The sequence below is a fragment of the Homo sapiens genome, chromosome 9 (genome assembly GCF_000001405.40).
Source record: "Homo sapiens chromosome 9, GRCh38.p14 Primary Assembly".
NCBI classification, from domain to species: Eukaryota; Metazoa; Chordata; class Mammalia; order Primates; family Hominidae; genus Homo; species Homo sapiens.
In genome coordinates this window covers 17,576,455-17,598,075 of record NC_000009.12, presented here as the reverse complement: position 1 = coordinate 17,598,075, position 21,621 = coordinate 17,576,455, and the positions used below count along the sequence as shown (strand labels likewise).

General features: G+C 42.5%; 1 protein-coding gene and 1 pseudogene across 1 annotated transcript in view, besides 1 other annotated feature; one reads left to right on the top strand and one right to left on the bottom strand.

Moving 5' to 3' along the window:
- Positions 1–19,010, bottom strand: part of SH3GL2 (SH3 domain containing GRB2 like 2, endophilin A1) — a 218,059-nt gene extending 199,049 nt beyond the window's left edge. The window contains exon 1 of the mRNA NM_003026.5: positions 18,789–19,010. Within this exon, the coding sequence (NP_003017.1) occupies positions 18,789–18,833 (45 nt within the window). The 5' untranslated portion in view covers positions 18,834–19,010. The remainder of the gene's footprint in view (positions 1–18,788) is intronic.
- On the top strand, positions 7,380–8,613 carry PABPC1P11 (poly(A) binding protein cytoplasmic 1 pseudogene 11; annotated as a pseudogene).
- Positions 20,000–20,198: a silencer, noted in NCBI's record as "fragment chr9:17577876-17578074 (GRCh37/hg19 assembly coordinates)". NCBI's record gives its function as "represses an EF-1alpha promoter that drives an FKBP-Casp9 reporter gene in an ReSE screen in phorbol 12-myristate 13-acetate-treated (for megakaryocytic differentiation) K562 erythroleukemia cells {active_cell/tissue: K562(+PMA)}" and the evidence as "EXISTENCE:reporter gene assay evidence [ECO:0000049][PMID:32094911]".

Genomic DNA, 21,621 nt, shown 5'->3' with positions numbered 1-21,621 from the left:
AGTGCCCTAGCATTGTTCTTTGCTGCACCTGTGACAAATTCTAATTATATATTTGCATAATCATTGGTCTGTCTCCCACACTGCACTGCCAGTTCCACGGGGGCAGGGAATGAGTATTTTATCCATCTCTCTATACCTAAAACTCAGCACAGAGCCTGGCGGTTAATGGGCGAATGCTTACTGTTTGTTAAGAAAGATGGAGGACCAGAGCATAAAGAGGGGAAAAACTGGCCCTCAATCAGGGTGGAGAGGCCAGGGTCAGATCAGGCAGGCCCTTGCAACTCTCCAAAGAGAGTTTTTAAATCCAAATAATTTCTAGAGTAGCTTATTAATGGATAGTTCCATAATCTGATAAGAAAAACATATAAATCAAACAAACTCACACCTCACTTTCTACAAGTTGTGTCCAATTATGAAAGAAGCATCTTGCAAAACCCTTACTCTTAAGAGAACCACCTAACAAGCACATAATACAGAATACATAAGTAACAAAGTTCAATTATGCTACATCTACCTTCATTCAAAAAATCATTGTTATATAGTAATTTTTTTTTTTTTTGAGACTGAGTATCACTCTGTCGCCCAGGCTGGAGTGCAGTGGCATGATCTTGGCTCACTGCAACCTCCACCTCCTGGGTTAAAGCGATTCTCCTGCCTCGGCCTCCCGAGTAGCTGGCATTACAGGCATGTGCCACCATACCCAGCTAATTTTTTTGTATTTTAGCACAGACAGGGCATGTTGGTCAGGCTGGCTTTGAACTCCTGAACTCAAGTGATCTGCCCGCCTCAGCCTCCCAAAGTGCTGGGATTACAGGCGTGAGCCACTGTGCCAGGACAATTATTTTTAAATGCTGAAATCTGAAACTACTTTAAAAGGACCAAAACCCGAAGTTTTGCAGCAAATAAAAACATCAATTTGGTATATGCTTCAGCAGATTACTACACAAGAAAACAAATCTCTTGAAGCAGTCTCAACTGTTTCTCAGCTTACAAGTTAATATTATCCCCAGAAACATCACAAGATGCTGCAGAGGTTGGAAAAGTTAGCTTCACTCTAGAAATGATTTCACAGAAATTATTTATCTCAGAGGTCGAAGCACTTGCCATTGAAGCCATCAAAGAGTGGCAGGCCCCAGAGAAAGCCAGACCATCCATAAAGGCATGCTTGTGCCCAGCAATCCACCACCGTCAGCAGTCCAGTGGATCTTGCTAGACGTGTCCTCTTTGGGAGAAAGGCAAAAGTGGCCTGCCCATCTCATTACTGAGGCTACGTTTCACGGTAGTGTTTTTTCCATTTTTATGTATTTTGTTTGGGTTGCTGAGAAGAATATATTATTTTACCATTTATGGCTTCCTAAACTTTGTATTTTCTGTCTTCAAAATAGAAGCCTGCCAGAGACTATTAACAATGTTCCGCATTCAAGTTCAACAGGGATCACTGGGAACGTCTCCTATCTTCTCAGGTATCTCTCCCTCACTTCATTCTTTTTTTGCTAGAATGGCACTGCCTACAGGCTTTTTGCTGAGAAGCTAAGAAGTGACAGATGCCCAGGAGACTCGTGGCCTAAGGGCTGGAGAATGAGGCTGAACAGCTCACACCAAATTACCAAGAACATCTTACAGGAGCACTCCAATACCCTATACATGTCTTAGCTGCCCTCTTTCCCTTTACGAAAAAACAGTGTCAATGCTATGACACTAGGGATAAGACTTAGGGAACTGAAAAAAAAAAATCTTCATTTAAAAGAAATGCCAGCAAAAGTCATTAGCAGCTGCTTACTTATAATGTTTGTACACATCTTCTTGGTGAAACCAGAAAAGTAGCCATGCATTCAGAAGAAACCCAAGCAGCACAATTTAATTCAGGGCTCTATGGAGGGCAGGGCAGGTGTTCCAATAGTTTTAAGCTAAATGCCTAATGAAGCAAACTGACATATATTTATAGTTCTAGAACTTGGCTAGAAACTGGGTTTGTTCCTAGTCCCCGTGATGGCTCCTAAAATTATTCGATTCCTTGTTTTCAACTTATCCTGAGAAAGTGGGGTTACAAGTAAAGACGATGAAGTGGAAAGAAAATTTTGTAATAGATCAAATTACCAAAGATAAGAAAGAAAATATAGAAACACTACTCACCCATAAACCCACTGACCAGGAATAATCACTGTTCAAATGTTCATTAAAAAAATAATCTTACTGTAACAATATAGCATAACGCCTGGTCTATAAATTCTCAGTGCATTTTAGCTACCATCATAGCTATATTTTTACAATATCAGGCTTACTACATATTACATATCTGCTTTATGGCTGGCTTTTTTCATTTTGGCAATAATCATGAATGTTTCCCTACTGCAATAAATATTGCCCTATAGATAAAATAGCTGTAGAGATTTCATAATATTGACATACAGATTTACTTCCTCATCCCTTATTGAGGTTGTTTACAATTTTTCACCACAATAACTACTACAGTGAACAATCTTGTACCTAAGTTGTACATACTTATACATTTATATTCTGTGAATAGTTTCCTAAAAACAGAATTACAGGGAAGAGAACTACTGATCTCCAGAAGTGTTTTAACAGTTTACACTCCCACCATAAACGGGGATCCATGTTCTTATACTCTTGCTAACCCAGAATGTTACTATCCTTTTCATCTCTGCCAATCTAAACAATGAAAAATGTCAGATATTGCTGTCTGATTTCCTTGATTTTTGCATTCGTATCTTGGCCACTTGCTCTTTCAAATACTGCCTTTCATATTGTTGTCTTATTTTTCTACTAAAGTGTTCGCGTCTTCTTGGTGACCACTAAGAGCTTTTAGGTATGTCTTGGTTTGATATATAAGGTGACAATAGGACTCATGGTTAAAAACTACTGGCAGTTACTGGCTCTGAAACCAGGTGGTGTGGTTTCAATCCTGACTCTGCCACTGAAGCTGTGTAACCACCTCTGTGTTTCAGCTTCCTCATCTGTAAAATGGGGATAATAATGTTCATAGGGTTGCTGTGAGTAATAAATGAGTTAAAATAGTACCTAGGCTAGCCATTTGTACAATGAAGGAAGTTTATTTTAAACTTACAATCTTACAATTTTATGAGGGTGTGCTTTAAATTCTACATTAACTTTTAGAAATCGGTGATGTATTTTAAGCAGAAATGAATACATCAAAAATATATGCATAGGACCCCCTTTTAAATATACATAAGGATCAACAGAAACAGAAGCTATGTATTCATTCAACAATTATCAATTAAATGCCCACTACAGGCTAGGAACTGGCAACAGAATGAAGTATAGAATGGCAGGGTCCTTCTCTTTATACCCACCCTAGAGGATACCATCAAGGAGACTGGTGCCTGTATAGCAGTGAGCCGAGCACTACACTTCACAGAGGTACAACACACAATTATTTTTTTAATTTTTATTTTACTTTAAGTTCCAGGATACATGTGCAGAACGTGCAGGTTTGTTACATAGGTATACATGTGCCATGGTGGTTCGGTGCACCTATCAACCTGTCACCTAGATTTTAAGCCCCACATGCATTAGCCATTTGTCCTGATGCTCTCCCACCCCCGCCCCATAGACCCTGGTGTGTGTTGTTCCTCTCCCACAACATGCAATTTTCATTGCACATGGAAGGACATTTAACCCACACTAAATGAGGGAAGGGTAACCTCTCTGAGAAAATATGAAGCTGATAAAGTGGTGATTAATCAAATACCAAGTGGAAAGAAGGGAATTTCCACAGAGAGGGAAGAGCATGGTGCGAAGGCTTGAAAGGCAAGAAACGTATGGCATAATTGCAAGGTGTCAGGATAACTAGCACAGCTACAACTCAGAGCACATTTAGAGTGTGAGAGTGAAAGCAGATCACTGAGCAGGACACAGATGACACTTCAGACTCCTGAACAGGACTTCAGAGGGACCTATCCTGGGAGCCATAAGGAGCCACTGAAGAGTTTTAAGAAGAAGAACAATGCTAGATTTGCTCTTTAGAAAAGTCACTATAGCCACAGTAGATAATGAACCAGAGGGGAACGAGACCAGAAGCACAGAACGTCAGAACCTAAAATCATGCCCAGGACCATATTACCTCAGCTGTGCAACTGAGAAAATGTGGGTGTGAGGAGGAAGAAGTTGAGATCAAGTGACTAGTGACTGGTCTGGGGTCTCACAAGTGCTCAGAATGGGAAAACTAGGAGATGTGAAGTCTCTGGGCTCCTACTGATCTTGTGCCACACAGCCTGATGACGGATGGTATTGCACCATTTTCTAAATTACTTCAAAAGCTTCTCTTAAAGAACATGTCTACCTCCTTTCTGAACATCGGGCACAGAACAGATGACTCAGTGCTGCTCTAAACAAATGACCTTCCTTTTTCTAAAATATAATTAAATACCCCATTACAGGCAGAAAACTCCTTGGTACTCAGAAAAAGGTCAACCATTTCCATAGTCAAATTATGTATGGGAAGGGCCATGTTTTGAACAAGACAGTTGGTACATTCTTGTGTCCTTGTAAGGATGTAGGAAAAAAACAAACACAGTTTCTCCTATTATATATATACCTCAAAATACCCAGCACAGACTATTTCTGTGACCTCTGGTTACCAAAATGTGTGGGGATTTCTCCCTACCAGCAACCCATTCTGCAGATGATTCTCCACTGGACACCAGCTGGGTGTCCTCTAATTCAATTCAATTCTGACACTACCTGGAGATAGCGTCAGATCCCACAGGTTGAGGGCTCGGTCCCACAACTGGCTTCAGATGCCAGTCACAAGCACAGTCCTGTGCTTCTAACCTATCAGCTATAAATCAGGGTTCCCACAACTCCCTCCTGTGATTCAACTAATTTGCCAGAGCAGCACACGGAACTCAGGGAAACACTTACTTATGTTTAGCCATTTATTAGAAAGGTATTAAAAGGATACAGATGAACAGCCAGATGGAAGAGACACATAGGTCGAGGTATGGGAGAAGCAGCCTGGAGCTTCCATACCCTCTCCAGGCACATCCTCTTTCAGGAACCACCACATGTTCAGCTGTCTGAAAATCCTCCCAAACCCTGTGATGTTGGGTTTTTATGGAGGCTTCATTACATAGGCATGACTGATTAAATCACCGGCCTTTGGTGATCCACTTAACCTTCACCCCCTTTCCCCTCTAAGGAGGCTGGAGCTGAAAGTCCCAACCCTCTAAGCATACATTGGTCTTTCTGGTGAACAGTCCCCAACCTGAAGCTATAGGAGTCCCCAGCCACTGGTCATCTCGTAGCAGAGAAAAGACAGTTACCACCCTGATGATCCCATGGGTTTTAGAGGTTTTTTTTCTGTGAGGAAACAGGGAGACGAAATACATATTTCACAATACCATGGTCCTTAAGAACACTGAATCCCCAAATTAAAATATCCATTTTATTCTTCTTCCATTCTAATTTAGTGAAGGAGGAAATCTCAGGGTATTGTTAGAATATCTACTACTTATCTGTTAATCTCCTGTTTTAACAAAGGCAGAATAAACCTCAAGCTCACAGATTTACTCAGGCAAGAGTATCCAGGACTTAATTTTGTTTTGCATGATAATTAATAGTGATTTTTCCATTTAAGAAAATGGTACACTGATTCAGTTTTAAATTAAGTCAGTGTGATGATTAATTTTATGTGTCAACTTAACTGGGTTAAGGGATACCCAGATAGCTGGTAAAATATTTCTGTGTGTGTCTGCCAGGGTGTTTCCAGAAGACATTAGCATCTGAATCAGTAGACTGAGCAAAGAAGATCTGAGGGCAGCAGACATCCAATCGCTTGAGGGCCTGGGAAGAGCAAAAAGCAAATTTGCTCTCTTTTCTTAAGCAAGACTTCCATCTTCTCCTGCCCTTGGACATCAGAATTCCAAATTCTTGAGACTTTGGGGTTGGGGCTTACACCAGCAGCTCCCCGGGGCCTCAGGCCTTTGGACTTGGACTGTATTACACCACCGGGTTTCCTGATTCTCCAGCTTGCAGAAAGCATATTGCAGGATTTAGTCTCCATAATCACATGAGCCAATTCCCATAATAAATCCCTCTCATGTATCTACATATCATGTTGGTTCTGTTTTGCTGGTGAACCCTTATATAGTCAGTAAACATGAATACAGATTGACAAAATGTCATGAAGATACAACTGAATGATACGCTTAGGAAACAATCAAATTATTCTACCATAATCATGTGGAAAGCGCCTACAGAAAATGCCTACGTTCACCTGAATCATTCACAGCAGCAACCAGTAGACACAGTTTTACTGGACACTATGAGCTTAGCAATGTTCCAGGCTTTATATCAGTAACTCCATCTTGGGCTACTACTCCATATTAAACTGCTGATGAACTTTGAGACCCGAAAAGGAACTGTGAAAAACATTCCTTCACAAACAACCGTGCTCTCAGCACTACACAATACAAGTAAAACTGGTCCTAATCTTTACAAACACTCTGTATATAGGTTTTTCCTGAATAACTGATACAAATGTACCCTTCTACTACTGATTAAAGACTTGTTTAATACACCAATGAAATAATGTGACAAGCAATTTATGTAATCTAAATAAGTTCTTTTAAATAGCCCCCTTGCCCTTCTCGGGTGGTACAATCTCTGACTGCTAGCCAGGTTGCAACCCCCATTCCTGAGTAAATGCTAATTTAACTCTGACCTGTTGACCTTTTTTGGGGGGCACTGGAGGGGTGACAACACTAAGAATTTAGGTAATTTAGATATTATAAAGGGCAAGCCAGTACATATCACAAAATATCAGTATAACTCACTGTTTCACAAAAGGGGAAGACGTAACAGTCATCAATTTAGGAAAACAATTGATATAGAGATTTTATGATAAGCTTTCTGTTTAAGACACGTCCTTTTATGTAAGGTGATTTTTTTGGTGAAAATGTATCAAAATGCTTTACATGTCTGTGTCTTCAGACACAGAAAGTAGCTGAAAGAGCTTGTAAAAAGTGAATTAAATGTTAGCCAGGCGCGGCGGCTCATGCCTGTAATCCCAGCACTTTGGGAAGCCAAGGAAGGCATATCACTTGAGTAGGAGTGCAAGACCAGCCTGGGCAATGTAGCAAGACCCTGTCTCTACCAAAAATACAAAAAAATTAGCCAGGAGTGGTGACGTGAGCCTGTAGTCCCAGCTACCTGGAAGGCTGAGGAGGGAGGCTTGGGCCTGGGAGGAGGAGGTTGCAGTGATTCGTGGTCACGCCACTGCGACAGAGTGAGACCCTGTCTCAAAAACAAAATAAAACAAAAATGAATTAAATACACCTTTGTGATCACAAAAATATCTTCTGAACAATTTAAGTTGTGTAAAGAATGACATTCTTCCAGCTTTTCTTGGAGCTAGGGAAAAGGAGCTTTCCATGTCTAGAACATAGGGACGATGAGCACTATAAATATATCTGCAAAATTTGGACTGGGTTTAAGGTGAATATAATGATCAAAAGGTGAAAAATCCAAAGATTTTAGGTTTATCAGCTTCAAATGGCCCAAAATACATAGAGCATAATGGATGAGATGAATGGAAAAGAGAATAATGGAAAACAGTTTTACTGTTTGTTAAACTTAACTAAAAAGTGAAATGGGAGACAGAACTTAAGTGCAAGGTTCATCATCAGAAGTAGAAGATCTCTGGATAACAGGCTATTAATATTAATCAGTAAACTCTTAACTACAGTACTGATGAACACCTCCAGAAAACACTTCCTTTAGCCAGTGTATTATACGATGATGATGTGCAATGGCCATGGCAAAGGGTTTGTAGGTCCTTCTTGCCCAGATGCAGCCACTTAAGCAGTAAAATAATGAATGGTATAAATTCAGCCATCAAGCCACTGTACACACATTAACTCAATAGAAAGAAGCACATTAGGGTCACCTCAGCAACCAGTATATGCAGAAAATAACAGAAGTGAGAGGTGTGTCCACCCTGCAATTTCTACAGGACACCTCTCCTTCAGGTTACTTACCACTCAGATACAAAATCAGGCCTCACTATTCTCTCCCTGGCCAAGCTGCTCAACTGACACCAAGTCCCTAAAATATATCTCAGGGTGCCAGACCGCATGCCTTCCAAATTATGTCTGGCACCGTCTACCAGATGTACCTAGAAAACCATTCAGGGCTAAGGATCCATGAATCACGTCAAAGAGCATGGGGCTAACGGATCACAGACAATGGCCCACATGTTACGGGGCCCACAACCACCCTCAACCCTGCTGCTTACACCACAACACACTTCAAATGTGCTACACAAATCTGCAATCCTCAACAACTTAATGAACAACTTCAAAGTACCATGTAGCCATCCGATGTGCCTGCACTAAGTAAGGCATTTCACTGTCTGTGTTGGCCTCAGCCTTCCCCCAAGCACAAAAACAGATGCAGGATTAACAGTCAACTCCTCTACTCTAACTGAAATCCCTGCCACACTGTCAGAGACTAAGAATTCAGAAACTTCTTTGCAGATCTGTAGTCTCTCTATTCCAAGGTTAGAGAAGTTGTCACTGTTCCACCAGCCCACCAGGCTAAGGTACTGCTCAGCAAGTACTTAACGGTGCCACTGTTAAAAAAAAAACTGATCAGGAGCCACAGAAATAAACTTGTGCCTCATCAGAGAAAAACATCTAAATATCAAAAAGCCAAAGCACTGTAGAAAAAAATCTATAAAATAAAAAATATATTAAAAAGGCACATGGGCCAGGCATAGCGGCACACGCCTATAGTCCCACTACTCTGGAGGCTGAGGTGGGAGGATTGCTTGGGCTCAGAGGATTGAGGCTGTAGTGAGCTGTGATCGCCCCATTATACCCCAGCCTGGACGACAGTTTCAAAAGGCACATGGAACATACTGAGCCTTATGTATTAAGAAAAGACTTATTCAGCAAACTAGACTTAAAATTCATATGTGCATATGTATGTTGTGTATGTACATATGGACATATGCACATATACATACACTTACAAGCTCACAAATAGATTAATATACAGACACACAATTAATTAATTATAGGCACCAGTAATAGCAAAACTGCTAGCTTTTTAACCAAAAACCCACTTTTACATCCTGGGCACATAGCTAGGCTACACTTGCCTTCTTCCATTTCTCTTAGGTGTACCACAGAGGGGCCATGTTACAAGTTCCAGCCAACCAAACATAAACAGAAGGAACTATTCCTTCTCTTCATTTTCAGCTGTTGTATAACAAATTACCACAAATTTAGCAGCTTAAAACAATACCCATTTATTATCTTACAATTCTATAAATTAGAAGTCTGGGCCTGCTTAAGTGAGCTCCCTGTTGAGGGCCTCACAAGGCCAAAATGAAGGCGTTGGCTAGACTGGGCTCTTATCTGGAAGCTTGGGGGAAGAATTCCCTTCCTCTCAGATTCTTCAAGGCTGTGGGTCTAAGATCCCTATTTTCCCTGCTGATGGTCACCAAAGAGCTGATTTCTGCTCCTAGAGGCTGCCTGCATTACTACTCACATGGCCCCTCCCTCTTTAAACCAACAACAGCATGTCCAGTCCTGCTCATACTTCCAATCTCTCTGATTTTTCCTTCCACTACCAGCCAGAGAAAATATCCTGCTTTTAAAGGGCTCATGAGATTAGATTAAGTCCAATCATATAATCTCCCTTTTGTCTTACAAAGTTAAAAGTCTCAGGAATAACATCTTTTCAAATTGAACATTGCACCCACACTCAAAGGGGAGGAGAGTACACAAGAGCAAGAGTCACCAACAATCGTAGCATTCTGTCTACCATATTCCTCTTCCAGGCCTGGCTTATGAACATCTCCCATGCTTGTTCAAACATATTCTTTCCCTTTGGCAACCTTGAAAACCATATGTTACAGATGGCAGAACCGATCCAGGGTCATCCTGAGTCCCTGAAGCAAATAACGGGAAATATAAATGAAAAAGACTTTGAGCAACAAAGTACCATTAAGACTTCTTGGTTAAGCCAAAGTATCAGGCCCTCTTGTTAAGTTCAGAGTAACACAACCAAGTCTACTGGATGAAAATTAGGTCTAAAAAAGAATTTCCATCATAGAAATTGGCAAATGAAACTCACAAGAAAACACATCAGAAGCCTATTAAGTTGAAGTTTTTCTGGTTTTTTTTTTTTGGTTTTTGTTTTTTTGAGACAGTGACTTGCTCTACTGCTCAGGCTGGAGTGCAGTGGTGCAATCTGGCTCACTGCAACCTCTGCCTCCCAGGTTCAAGCAACTCTCCCAGGTTCAAGCTTCAGCCTCCCGAGTAGCTGGGACTACAGGCGTAGGCCACCATGCCTGGCTAATTTTTGTAGTTTTAGTAGAGAAGCGGCTTCACCATGTTGTCCAGGCTGGTCTTGAACCCCTGGCCTCAGGTGACCCGCCCACCTCGGCCTCCCAAAGTGCGGGGATTACAGGCATGAGCTACCGCACTTGGCCAGAAGCCTACTAAGTTTATGAAGAAATTTCATTACTCAAATCTACCATGGATAGTGAAAACCCTATGACTGTAAAACAATCCCCAAATTTAAATAAACAGGAAGTTGACTGAAAAGTTATGCCGTTCCCAAAGAGGGCAGATTTCCTCTAACCCTCCTTAGACCTGGCCAAATATATATAAGAAAGAACAAGAGTTCTTCCCAGATTGCAGAGCCAGATTGTAAAACCAAGGAACTTCCTCTACTGGCAGGCAGGGGATTTCACAATGCCCCCTGCAGGATGCCATCACTGTTATGGACAATAACTGTCCTGACTCCCCTTCTCTCCTTTCCTCACTGGAGTCATTCACTGTGGACATTATTTCCTGTACTTTTTGTTTTGTTTTGTTTTGTTTTTGAGACAGTCTCGCTCTGTCGCCCAGGCTGGAGTGCAACGGTGTGATCTTGGCTCACTGTAGCCTCCGCCTCCCAGGTGCAAGCAATTCTCCTGCCTCAGCCTCCTGAGTAGCCAGAAATACAGCTGTGCATCACCAAGCCTGGCTAATTTTCCCATTTTTAGTAGAGACGAGGTTTTGCCATGTTGGCCAAGCTGGTCTCAAACTCCTCAAGTGATCTGCCTGCCTCGACCTCCCAAAGTGCTGGGATTGCAGGCATGAGCCACCGCACCCAGCCGATTTCCTGTACGTTTAAAAGCATAGGCTATCTGCTTTATGTTTCTTTCAAGCATTATTCTGTGATACGGTTTGGCTGTGTCCCCACCCAAATCTCATCTTAAACTGTAGTTCCCACAATCCCCATGTGTCATGGGAGGGACCTGGTGGGAGGTAATTGAATCATAGGGGTGGTTACCGCCACACTGTTCTCGTGATAGTGAGTGAATTCTCACGAGAGCTGACGGTTTTATAAGGGGCTTTTACCCCACTTTGCTCTGTACTTCTCCTTGCTGCCGTCATGTGAAGGACATTTTTGATCCCCCTTCTGCCATGACTGTAAGTTTCCTGAGCCCTCCCTAGCCATGCAGAACTGTGAGTCAATTACACCTCTTTCCTTTATAAATTACCCAGTCTCGGGTATGCCTTTATTAGCAACATGAGAACAGACTAATACATAGCTTGATATTGAGATGTTTCTCAGCATTATAAAACTGCTTCCATTAGTATCTATGGGGAAAGGTTAGTTTGAATTATAAAAAAGATATTTCTATTTTTTATATATATCATAATTCAAAAAAAGGCAGAAAACACTGCCTAGAGGTCCTTCAGTGTCCTAAGTATCCAAGTAAACCTCCATGGAGCTGTGGGTTCTTCACGAGTATTACAGACAGCTTCTCCATATTCATTACTACTATATACAATTTGACCCAGGGGATGGCGGAGGGAGATTAGGGTAGAGCAACTACAACATCATATTTGGCATTTAGAAGTTGTACTAAATGTAAAACCTTTATAAATAGTGAAATTATTTCCTGAAGCATTTGTCATCAGCTAATGATTTAGTATAGCATGAAAATATTTTGTTGGTAGAATGCAAAAGACTTGGCAGGGTCTCACAATCATGGCATTTTAATAAGTATAGTTATAGCTCTCTTTAGTCTTTATTATCCATCGGATACCATGTACATCATTCTTAAGCTTTTAGGCTCCTTAAGTGATTATGGAAACAATAAATTCTAAACCAAAAACACTGAGAAGGGTTGTACTACAAAGTTTCAAAACTTCACATGTTGTCTCCTGCTGCCTCTTGCTGCCTCAACATTCATTCCCACATACGCTAACTGTGAACACCCCACCCAGGTAACCAGGTGCACAAGTTTGATAAGGTTGGCCCCTACCACAAGTTCACCTCTCTGTCTTCTTCTGACCACGACCTACCAATGCACCAATGCAACGCACTGTGAACTGCACTGAGCTGTGAACTGCACTGAGATCACTAGTAAAGGCACTTGCCCACAGTCCTTGCTCTCTCTGCTCCCACCTGTTTCCCACCTGCTTAGCTGATCCTGCTCTCAGAGCTGTCACCTCCACCCCACGTGTCCCCCCTCCTATCCTCCTGTACAGTGATTGTCATTCTAAGACATGTGAGTATAATAAACTCTGTTTTCTTGAGCCTCTCCTATGTCCCCTCTTGTGGCTACACCTCACTGAACATTACCTAAAAGAACACAGGACAAGGGTACGAAGGATTAAAAGAACAAAAAGAGAAAAAAGGAGGCCAAAAAATCCACTGACTTCTTACCTACTTAGCATCTCCCCTATCTGGCCTTAAATTGAGAAGAATTGCTCATCTCTAGAAAGCCCCATCAGGTATCCACCTTAAAGTTTGAAGCAGTTCTTAAACTCCATCTCCTCACCTAATTCTCATTATTCATTTGTCAGTGTGTCCTGCCCTTCTCTCGCCGCTGCCTCAAGCTACTCCTCTGAAGAAAGCCCTCGGGTTGCTTGATGCCCTGAGACTCTGTATGCAGCACAAGAGGCTTGGCAGAATGGAATCTGCTCTGCAAGCTTCAGCTCCCTTCCCCTGAATATTAAACCTCTCCCTTCCACAATGACATCTGTCTCAAAACAGTCACCATTTGCCCCAACCAAGTCTTGCCATTTTCTAGGGTACTTCTAATTAATTTGCAGGTTACTTTAAAATTTTCTAAGTAGACTGAAACCAAAATTCATATAAACTCAATTTAAAATATTAAAGAATCACTATGGGGAAAAAAGCTTGCAAAAATATAGCTGTTTCAACAACACAAACTTCAATCACGAGGACTCTCAGTCTACAGAGAAATCATTTTCAGTCACCACTTTCTTTTCATATACCCCACAGGCCCGTATCGTTGACTTCAAGCGCATTAACAACATTTTGTTTTACATGGTTCAAGTGATCCTTATTATGCAAGCATGGCACTCTCACAAGCATTACCTCATTCAATCCTGACACCTCTGGAAAGGTTTTTTACATTTGATTGCTGCTAAATTAATGCAGAGAAGGCTGCATTTTGATCAGGCATCCTAAAGCCCAGTAACAGAACTGTTGGAGTGATTATTGTAAGAAACATCCACTTTCTCCTGATGACATGATGAATTTATTTATTTATTTATTTGAAACAGAATCTCACTCTGTTGCCCAGGCTGGAGTGCAGTGGCACCATCTTGACTCACTGCAACCTCGGCCTCCTGGGTTCAGGCAATTCTCCTGCCTCAGCCTCCTGGGTAGGTGGGATTACAGGCACCTGCCACCTCGCCCAGCTAATCTTTTTGTATTTTTAGTAGAGACGAGGTTTCACTGCACTGGCAAAGCCGGTTTTGAACTCCTGACCTCAAGTGATCCGCCCGCCTTGGCCTCCCAAAGTGTTGGGATTACAGGAGTGAGCCACCACGCCCCACCCTATTTTTACTTTTCGAGGGGAGGAAGGGGCAGCAATTAGGAATTTATTTAAGAATCTGGTAACAGGCTAAGGGCATTCTCCCTCAGAAAAATGCATGTATAAAATGTTACTTATAATTTTATAAAATATATAGGCCCCTTGCAGCCTATTAGAGACTACTGGCTAAGAATGTGAAAGGGTACAGGTGTAGAAATCCTGGGTCAAGCAACAAGCCACAGCCAAGATTTTAAAGGCAGCAGAGAGTTGACTGCTTAGAGGCAATTAAGAAACTGAAAATCTCACTGAGATAAAGTCATAACTAATTAGATATTTAATCCAATACTTAGTAAGTTTAACATCTCACCAAATCAACAAATGCATGAAAAGACTTATGTAATGGTCTCCTGAGCAAAGCATCCATATAAAATACAGCATTCTGAAAGAGGAAATTAGGTAAAACAAAAAGACACAGAACACAAACATGATGAAATTTTCCCAGTTAAGGAATCTGAGTGTGACAAATAAACATATACCAGACTGTATCATAAAACCCAGCCTACCCAAATTAATTTTATCATTTAAAAAAATCAGAAAACACAATTTATAATAGGTATATTTCTGACTTAGTCTGTTCAGGCTACTAACAAAATATCTTAGACGGGGTAATTTATAAATAATAGAATTTATTTCTCACAGTTTGGGAGGCTAGCAGTCCAAGATGAAGGCACTAACAGATTTGTGCCTGGCTAGGGCCCACCCTTTGCTTCAAAGATGGTGCCTTGTTGCTAAACCCTCACACGGTGGAAGGGGACAGGGTGACCCCTTCAACTTCTTTTAAGAGAGCACTAATCCCATTCATGACTTAATCATGAGTGCCCTCATGACTTAGTCACCTCCTAAAGGCCCCATTTCTTAATACTGTCACATTGGCAGTCAAGCTTCAACATACGTATTTTAGAGGGACACATTCAGAACTTAGCAATATACTAACCAACTCATTAAAAAAGGAGAAAGTATATCTTTTTGATGCAATAGAAAGTTATATGTTATTTATAGGCTGAACTGTCCTCTTAGATGTTGAATCAAATATAGAATACTGTGGTTAATCCTTTTATGCAAATAACGACTGTTATGGATTGAACTGTGCCCCTCCCAAAATTCATATTAAAGTCCTAATTACAATAGCTCAGAATGCAACTTTATTTGGAAATAGGGGCATTACAGATGGTAATTATTTAAGATAAAATCATACTGGAGTAGGATGGGCTTGCCCAATCCTATATGACTGGGGTCCTTACAAAATGGGGAAATTTGGACACTGAGACACACACAGGGAGAATGTCATGTGAGCATGAAGGCAGAGACCAAGGTGATGTATCTACAAGCCAAGGAAGCCCAAAGATTCCCAACAAAGCACAAGAGCTAAGAAGGCAGCCTCGAATAGATCCTGTCTCATACCTTCAGAGAGCTCGTGGCCCTACTGGCACCTTGGTCTCAGACTTCAAGTGTGCTTGTCTCAAGAAGTGGGAAACAATGTATTTCTGTCGTTGAAACGACTCAGTTTGTAGTACTTTGTTACAGCAGCTCCAGCAAACTCATAAAATGACCTAATATATTTTACTTTATAATAGACTTTTACATATTGTAAAGCAAAATGTGTCCACATCATATGCATGATAGAGTGAATTTTTAAAAATACAGATTTTGTAGGAGCTTCATGTTCACTGGAAACAGCTATTTTTAACTAAGCTGCTGCCAGTTTAAAACAAGTGTAAAAAAACTGACATGACTTTTGTAAAATGAAATCTCAATATGAATAAAACTCACTAAAAGAGCAACACAAGATCATCTGCCCTTTATTACAGTAAAAAAAGAATACTTTATTCTAATTATACAGTAAATTATATCTTTATGAGCAATTAAGTAATGAAGTACATGAAAATAAGATGATCAATCAATTTTTGGTATCATTATATATTTTCATGCTGAAAGGATTTTCTTCTCTAATAAATTTTACTTGGCAAAAGCATTTTTTTACCTCCAAATTGTAAACATATTGAAAATAACTGTCAGCAACAAGGTAGAAATAACCAATTCTAATATAAGACAACAGTTGTGACACATTTAATCAGAAATTCCAAGTACAAACAATATACTGTTTTATTTATCATCGCTTACTAACACAAGCAAAAAAGCTCAATTCCATAGAAAGAAACGTTTGCGTGAACAGACTCCTTCCACTTATAAACCCAGGCTATAGGCCAGGTGCGGGGGCTCAGCCTGTAATCGAGGCGGGCAGATCACCTGAGGTCAGGAGTTCGAGACCAGCCTGGTTAACATGGCTAAACCCTGTCTCTACTAAAAATACAAAAATTAGCTGAGCGTGGTAGTGCATGCCTATAATCCCAGCTACTCAGGAGGCTGAGGCAGGAGAATCGCCTGAACACAGGAGGCAGAGGTTGCAGTATGCTGAGATCACGCCATTGCACTCCTGCCTGGGCGACAAGAGTCAAACTTTGTCTCAAATGAATAAATAAATAAACAAACAAACAAACCCAGGCTATATTATCCAGCACATCAGTTCTCAAAAGGAAGTAATTCTAGGTCTAAAGCTTCTCTGTAGATAACATCAGGTTCACGGACCTGATGGAAAAAAATGGCTACAAAAGTAGGACAGGACTATTTCTCTAATTTTTTTGTCACATGCAAACATTAACATGGGCTTTACATACTCTCCTAAATATACATATGCACAGAACAGTCACCTGTGCCTTAGACTTTCTAAGAGTGTGCTACACTAAATTATGGATAAGAGACTACGTGCTGCTTCACCTTTCAAATAAAAGGCTTTTCAGTAAAAGGAAGACAATGACGCAGTGATTCTGCATTTGGATTCGGTGTGATAAACATTAACCGTATCGCATCACATGCCGACCTTCTCCAACCTTTTAAGTTCTTTCCTAACGCAGTTTAAATTATTTTTTCTACACTTTAGGGCGACACAGAACTTCAAGATTTAGCGGAAATGGAGCGCTCTATTTTTTAAGTTGGAAAAACTAAAAGGTCTAGCTTGGGTAACTTCTTCACAGCATAAGGGATAGTATTTTATACTAATAAAAATATCCTTTATGTCAATAACTATAATTTATTGAACACTTTATACGTGTGTTCTACACACTCGTTTCTCTTCACCTCAACCCTGAAGAGACAACGGAAATTATCATCACTTCAGCATGGACAGGTTCAGAAGTTAAATACTCTCTCAAGGTCAGAAGCAGCAGAGGCAGGATTCAAACCTTAGCCTTTCCCACTCCAAAGCCAAGACTCTTAATTGCCTTTGAGGGCACTAAGCTTTGCAAAAGAAATCTTTAGAATCCAAGTGGAAAAAAGATGTGTTGGTAAACGCAGTGCTGAGATATGCTATAGAGAAGTGACCAGTAGAGCAATCAAAAAGGTTAGTAATATCGAAGAAGTCCTGCCACAGAATTCCTGGGCAGCACATATGCTTGGTTCTGTAAACCTGAAAGAACTTGCAGTATAAAGTTATTAGAAGCCTTCCAAACTACATCAACAAACAAATCACTTACTTTCATAAACATGTCTGGCAGAGAGGTCACAGATAACTCCAATTATAATAGAAAAGCAAAAATAATTACATTAAGAAACATTTTTACAGAAATAGTCTTACTTTTCTTGATTTCCTAAGTTGACAGGTATAATTGATTCTATAAAGGCAAGAATGTGTGATGAAGATGATGCAGATGCGTGCAAACACACACACGACGGGAATTACATGCTGCATCTGTCACCCTAAGTTAACCAAGGTTCTGTAAAACACAACCCTCACCTTTTCTGGATGTGGTTCATAACAAGGCTGCCACTGTGGTAGCCTAGGAAAAACCTCACTACTTCCGAGAAATTATGAGAAAGCTCGTTAATTAAGGCTAACCTATGAAAAACTATTTAACACCAAATCATGAAAAACATTTCGCGGTAAGTCATCAAAATCCTTAAAGATCCCATAAATTTGAACCTATTTCAGAAGGATAAAAAAGTAGTAATCACACACATTATGTAAGAAATAGGTCACAGCGTAAGTATTCGCTTACTTGCCCCTATGTAAAATTCTTTGAGTCCAATGATTTTAATTATTAGAATCTAAATTAATCAGTTTTATTACAGTCACAGCTTATTAACCCCATAAAGAAAAATGGGCACATCCAAGATGCCAAAGATTTATTAAAAACAATTTAAAATACATGATGATTTTAAGTCTTCAACAATTTGGTTGTTTTAGGGAAATATTTAAGACCCGCAGACTGTTTGTCATGCCCTGGCCTCAAAGGAGTTTCACGACCGAGTTCTCCAGGTAAAAGTTAATGTATGCGGGTCCCTAAAGGAAGACCCCAGCCTTCCATTCCCCTGGAGCCTGCGGGCGGCGGGGAAGGAGGGTTCTGACAACAGGGTAAGGGAGAGGAGCGCAAACCGCCGGCCTCCGCCCCGCCACCCCCAGTGCGGCCACCGCTCATGCCAACACATCCCGGGAAAGCCGGGTGCACCGACTCCGCAAGGTCACCCGTGAAGAGGCGACTTTACATAATCTCCCACCGCGCCGCCAAGGCACCTGCGCGCCGCGGCAGCAGTGCAGCCGCGGTCCCCTTCCTGCAGCACGGGCGCGAGATGATGCGGGGGCGGCGAGCAGCGCTACCAGGCAGGACGCCGGGGACCCGCGGGAAGGCAGCGCGCACCAAGCCGGGGGCGGGGGACCGAGGGTGGACGCCCAGACCGGGGATGCCCCGAGCCGCCGCCTTGGCTTGCGAGGCGGGGCGCGGCCGGCGCGGGCGAGGCTCGGTGCCGAACTCCCCAAGCTGCCGCCGGACGGCCAGCGCCGAGCGCGCCCCTCGCAGCTTCGCCCCGGACTGCCCCGGGACGCACCTGCCGCGCGCCTTACCTGAGTGGCTTTATGGAACTGCTTCTTGAGGCCGGCCACCGACATGGTGCAGGAGGCCGCGCTGGCGGCTGCTGTGCGGGAGGGAGGAGGCGGAGGGGGACTGGAGGGCCGAGCGGGGCGGCGCGCTCCCCTGGCCGCCTCTGGTCGTGCCGCCGCCGGGGCTATGGGCGCGAGGGCGCGGAGCCTAGCGGGACACGGGCTCTTGCGGAGAAACACTCTGACGTCAAGGGCGGGTGATGCGGCCTCTTAAAGGGGACGCGGGAAGCCCCGCCCCAAGCGCGGGAACGCCCAGGCAGGTGCTGTGGCGCGCGGTACCTGGATGCTGGCGCCAACTGCGGGGATGTGGCTCAGCGGCACCCGCTGGCGGATCCCTAGTCAGCGGGCCGAGGACGTCCTCCTGTCCCGGGGTTGGTGTTCCTGCCCCCGGGGGCTGCGGACGGGTCGCTGCAGATTGGCAGCCCAGGCACCCGCAGGACTCAGGTGACTTGCTGGGCTTCCAGGTAGCCGCGGCGGCGCTGCCTGCAGACGGCCCTCCTGCCCTTTGAGCCTGGCGTCTCTGCGCCGCAGCCTGAAAAAGACTGGCCTTCTATCTGGGCTAATGAATAAGTCATTGCTCCTTCTATGCCTTGCCCTGACTGGTGGGTCACAGAAAACATTTCTCTGCCCTGGTTTCAATATCCCTTAAGCCCATCTTACCTTAGGGAAAGTCACACACGCGTTTTCCCCCTTGTCTGATACAATTTAATGACTTAAAAAGAAGAACAGGAACCCTTAAGCCTGGACGGATAAATAGAATTGAAGTCTTACTACAAAACTAGCGTTCAATCCTCTGGTTACAGAAATGAAAAAGCCCAAATGTGATCTTGTTGTTATGCTTGTGGATTTAGGGTTTCCGGTCCGATAAAAATCAAAATATAATGTGAAAAAGCATGATACTAAGTTATATACAGATGCTTCATATGTAACCAAGGAGGTATGGCTGGCTAAAGTGAAACTAATAGATGACTTGGGAGCAGAGCAGCACTAAATGCCTTCTGTGCTCTGGTACTTAACCAAGTCTGGTTTTTCTAGGACTGAGGAGGTGGTCAGAAAGAACTTAGACGCTGTCCCCGTATGTGGACCAAAGTGATAAGAAGGAGAAGCCAAGATGGGAGAAATTGCCAAGGATGTGTAGAGACTGCAAGGCCAAATGGGAGTCCTAGAAATACTTTTTCTGTCTCCGCAACTCCTGCAGCCTGATAGGAGCCACAGACCCATCCCCACTCTTCTAGGCACTGCGGCTTGGGCACAGGGTGAACACCTGCTACAAAAGGGTCCTCCATCCGTAGAGCTACCAGTCATGGTCCTTCTTGATAATGTGAACTGACACACACAAAGGCAGAGTCAAGCAGTGGTGGGCACTGGAGCAGTAGAGCGCATGGACTAGGGACGCAGGCTGCAAAGGGAGGCAGATGAAAGGAGCTATTCTCCAGTGTGGTAGCCCTTACCACTGTTCATATACCTTTCCCTACATGGCAGAATTGCACTTTCCAAACCTCTTGTTAAGTGGAGGCATGGTTACAAGTTTTGACTAGAGGTTTAAGAGGAAAAGTGACTGTCACTTCTGCAGCAGCAATATGAGATGTATGAGATGCCGCAAAGCTTTCTTTTCCTCGGCCGCAATATTCTAGAAAGCTGTGGTCTGTCAGCCAGTATCCAGAGTGAGACTAAAGCAGTGCAGAGTCCCCACCTGACGTTCAATGGGCATGTAGCATCAGTGAGAAACCTGAGTAATTTTAATCCACTGAGGCTCCGGTTGTTAGGAATAAACTTTTTTCTCTATGTTTCCAATTTTTAAAAAGGCTACCCATTACTTGCATAATAGAAAAAAAAGTATTTTATAGTTAATTTTTACTACCAGGTCCCTGATCTGAACAATAAAGCATTTTCATAAGACAGGGCTTTGTTGAAGCTGCCAAAAGATAGAGCAATTGATCTACAAAGTGGAAGGGCCTGGGATGGATAGGAGCTCTGCTCTCTAACAGTGAAAGGTGTGAAATGGGGGCCTGAATTGCCTCCTTGGAACTTTGAATACTTAACTGAGCCCTACATTATAAAAAAGGCAGTTTCTATCTTTCCCTGGTTCTTCATCCACCAACCTGGAAGTCTCATGCTGCTTAACTTCAAAGAAACTACCTTGGGAGAAAAAAACTACTTAAGGGCATTACATTAAATCCTTTGGAAACCATTGATTTAGTCGCCCAGGCATCCTCTGCACCTCATCTTATATGGTTTGGCTGTGTCCCCACCCAAATCTCATCTTGAATTGTAACTCTCACAATTCCCACGTGTCGTGGGAGGAACCCAGTGGGAGTGATTGAATTATGGGGGTGGGTCTTTCCTACACTGTTCTCGTGGTAGTGAATGAGTCTTACAAGATCTGATGGTTTTAAAAACAGGAGTGTCTAGTTCAACCATTGTGGAAGTCAGTGTGGCGATTCCTCAGGGATCTAGAACTAGAAATACCATTTGACCCAGCCATCCCATTACTGGGTATATACCCAAAGGACTATAAATCATGCTGCTATAAAGACACATGCACACGTATGTTTATTGCGGCATTATTCACAATAGCAAAGACTTGGAACCAACCCAAATGTCCAACAATGATAGACTGGATTAAGAAAATGTGGCACATATACACCATGGAATACTATGCAGCCATAAAAAATGATGAGTTCATGTCCTTTGTAGGGACATGGATGAAATTGGAAATCATCATTCTCAGTAAACTATCGCAAGAACAAAAAACCAAACACCGCATATTCTCACTCATAGGTGGGAATTGAACAAT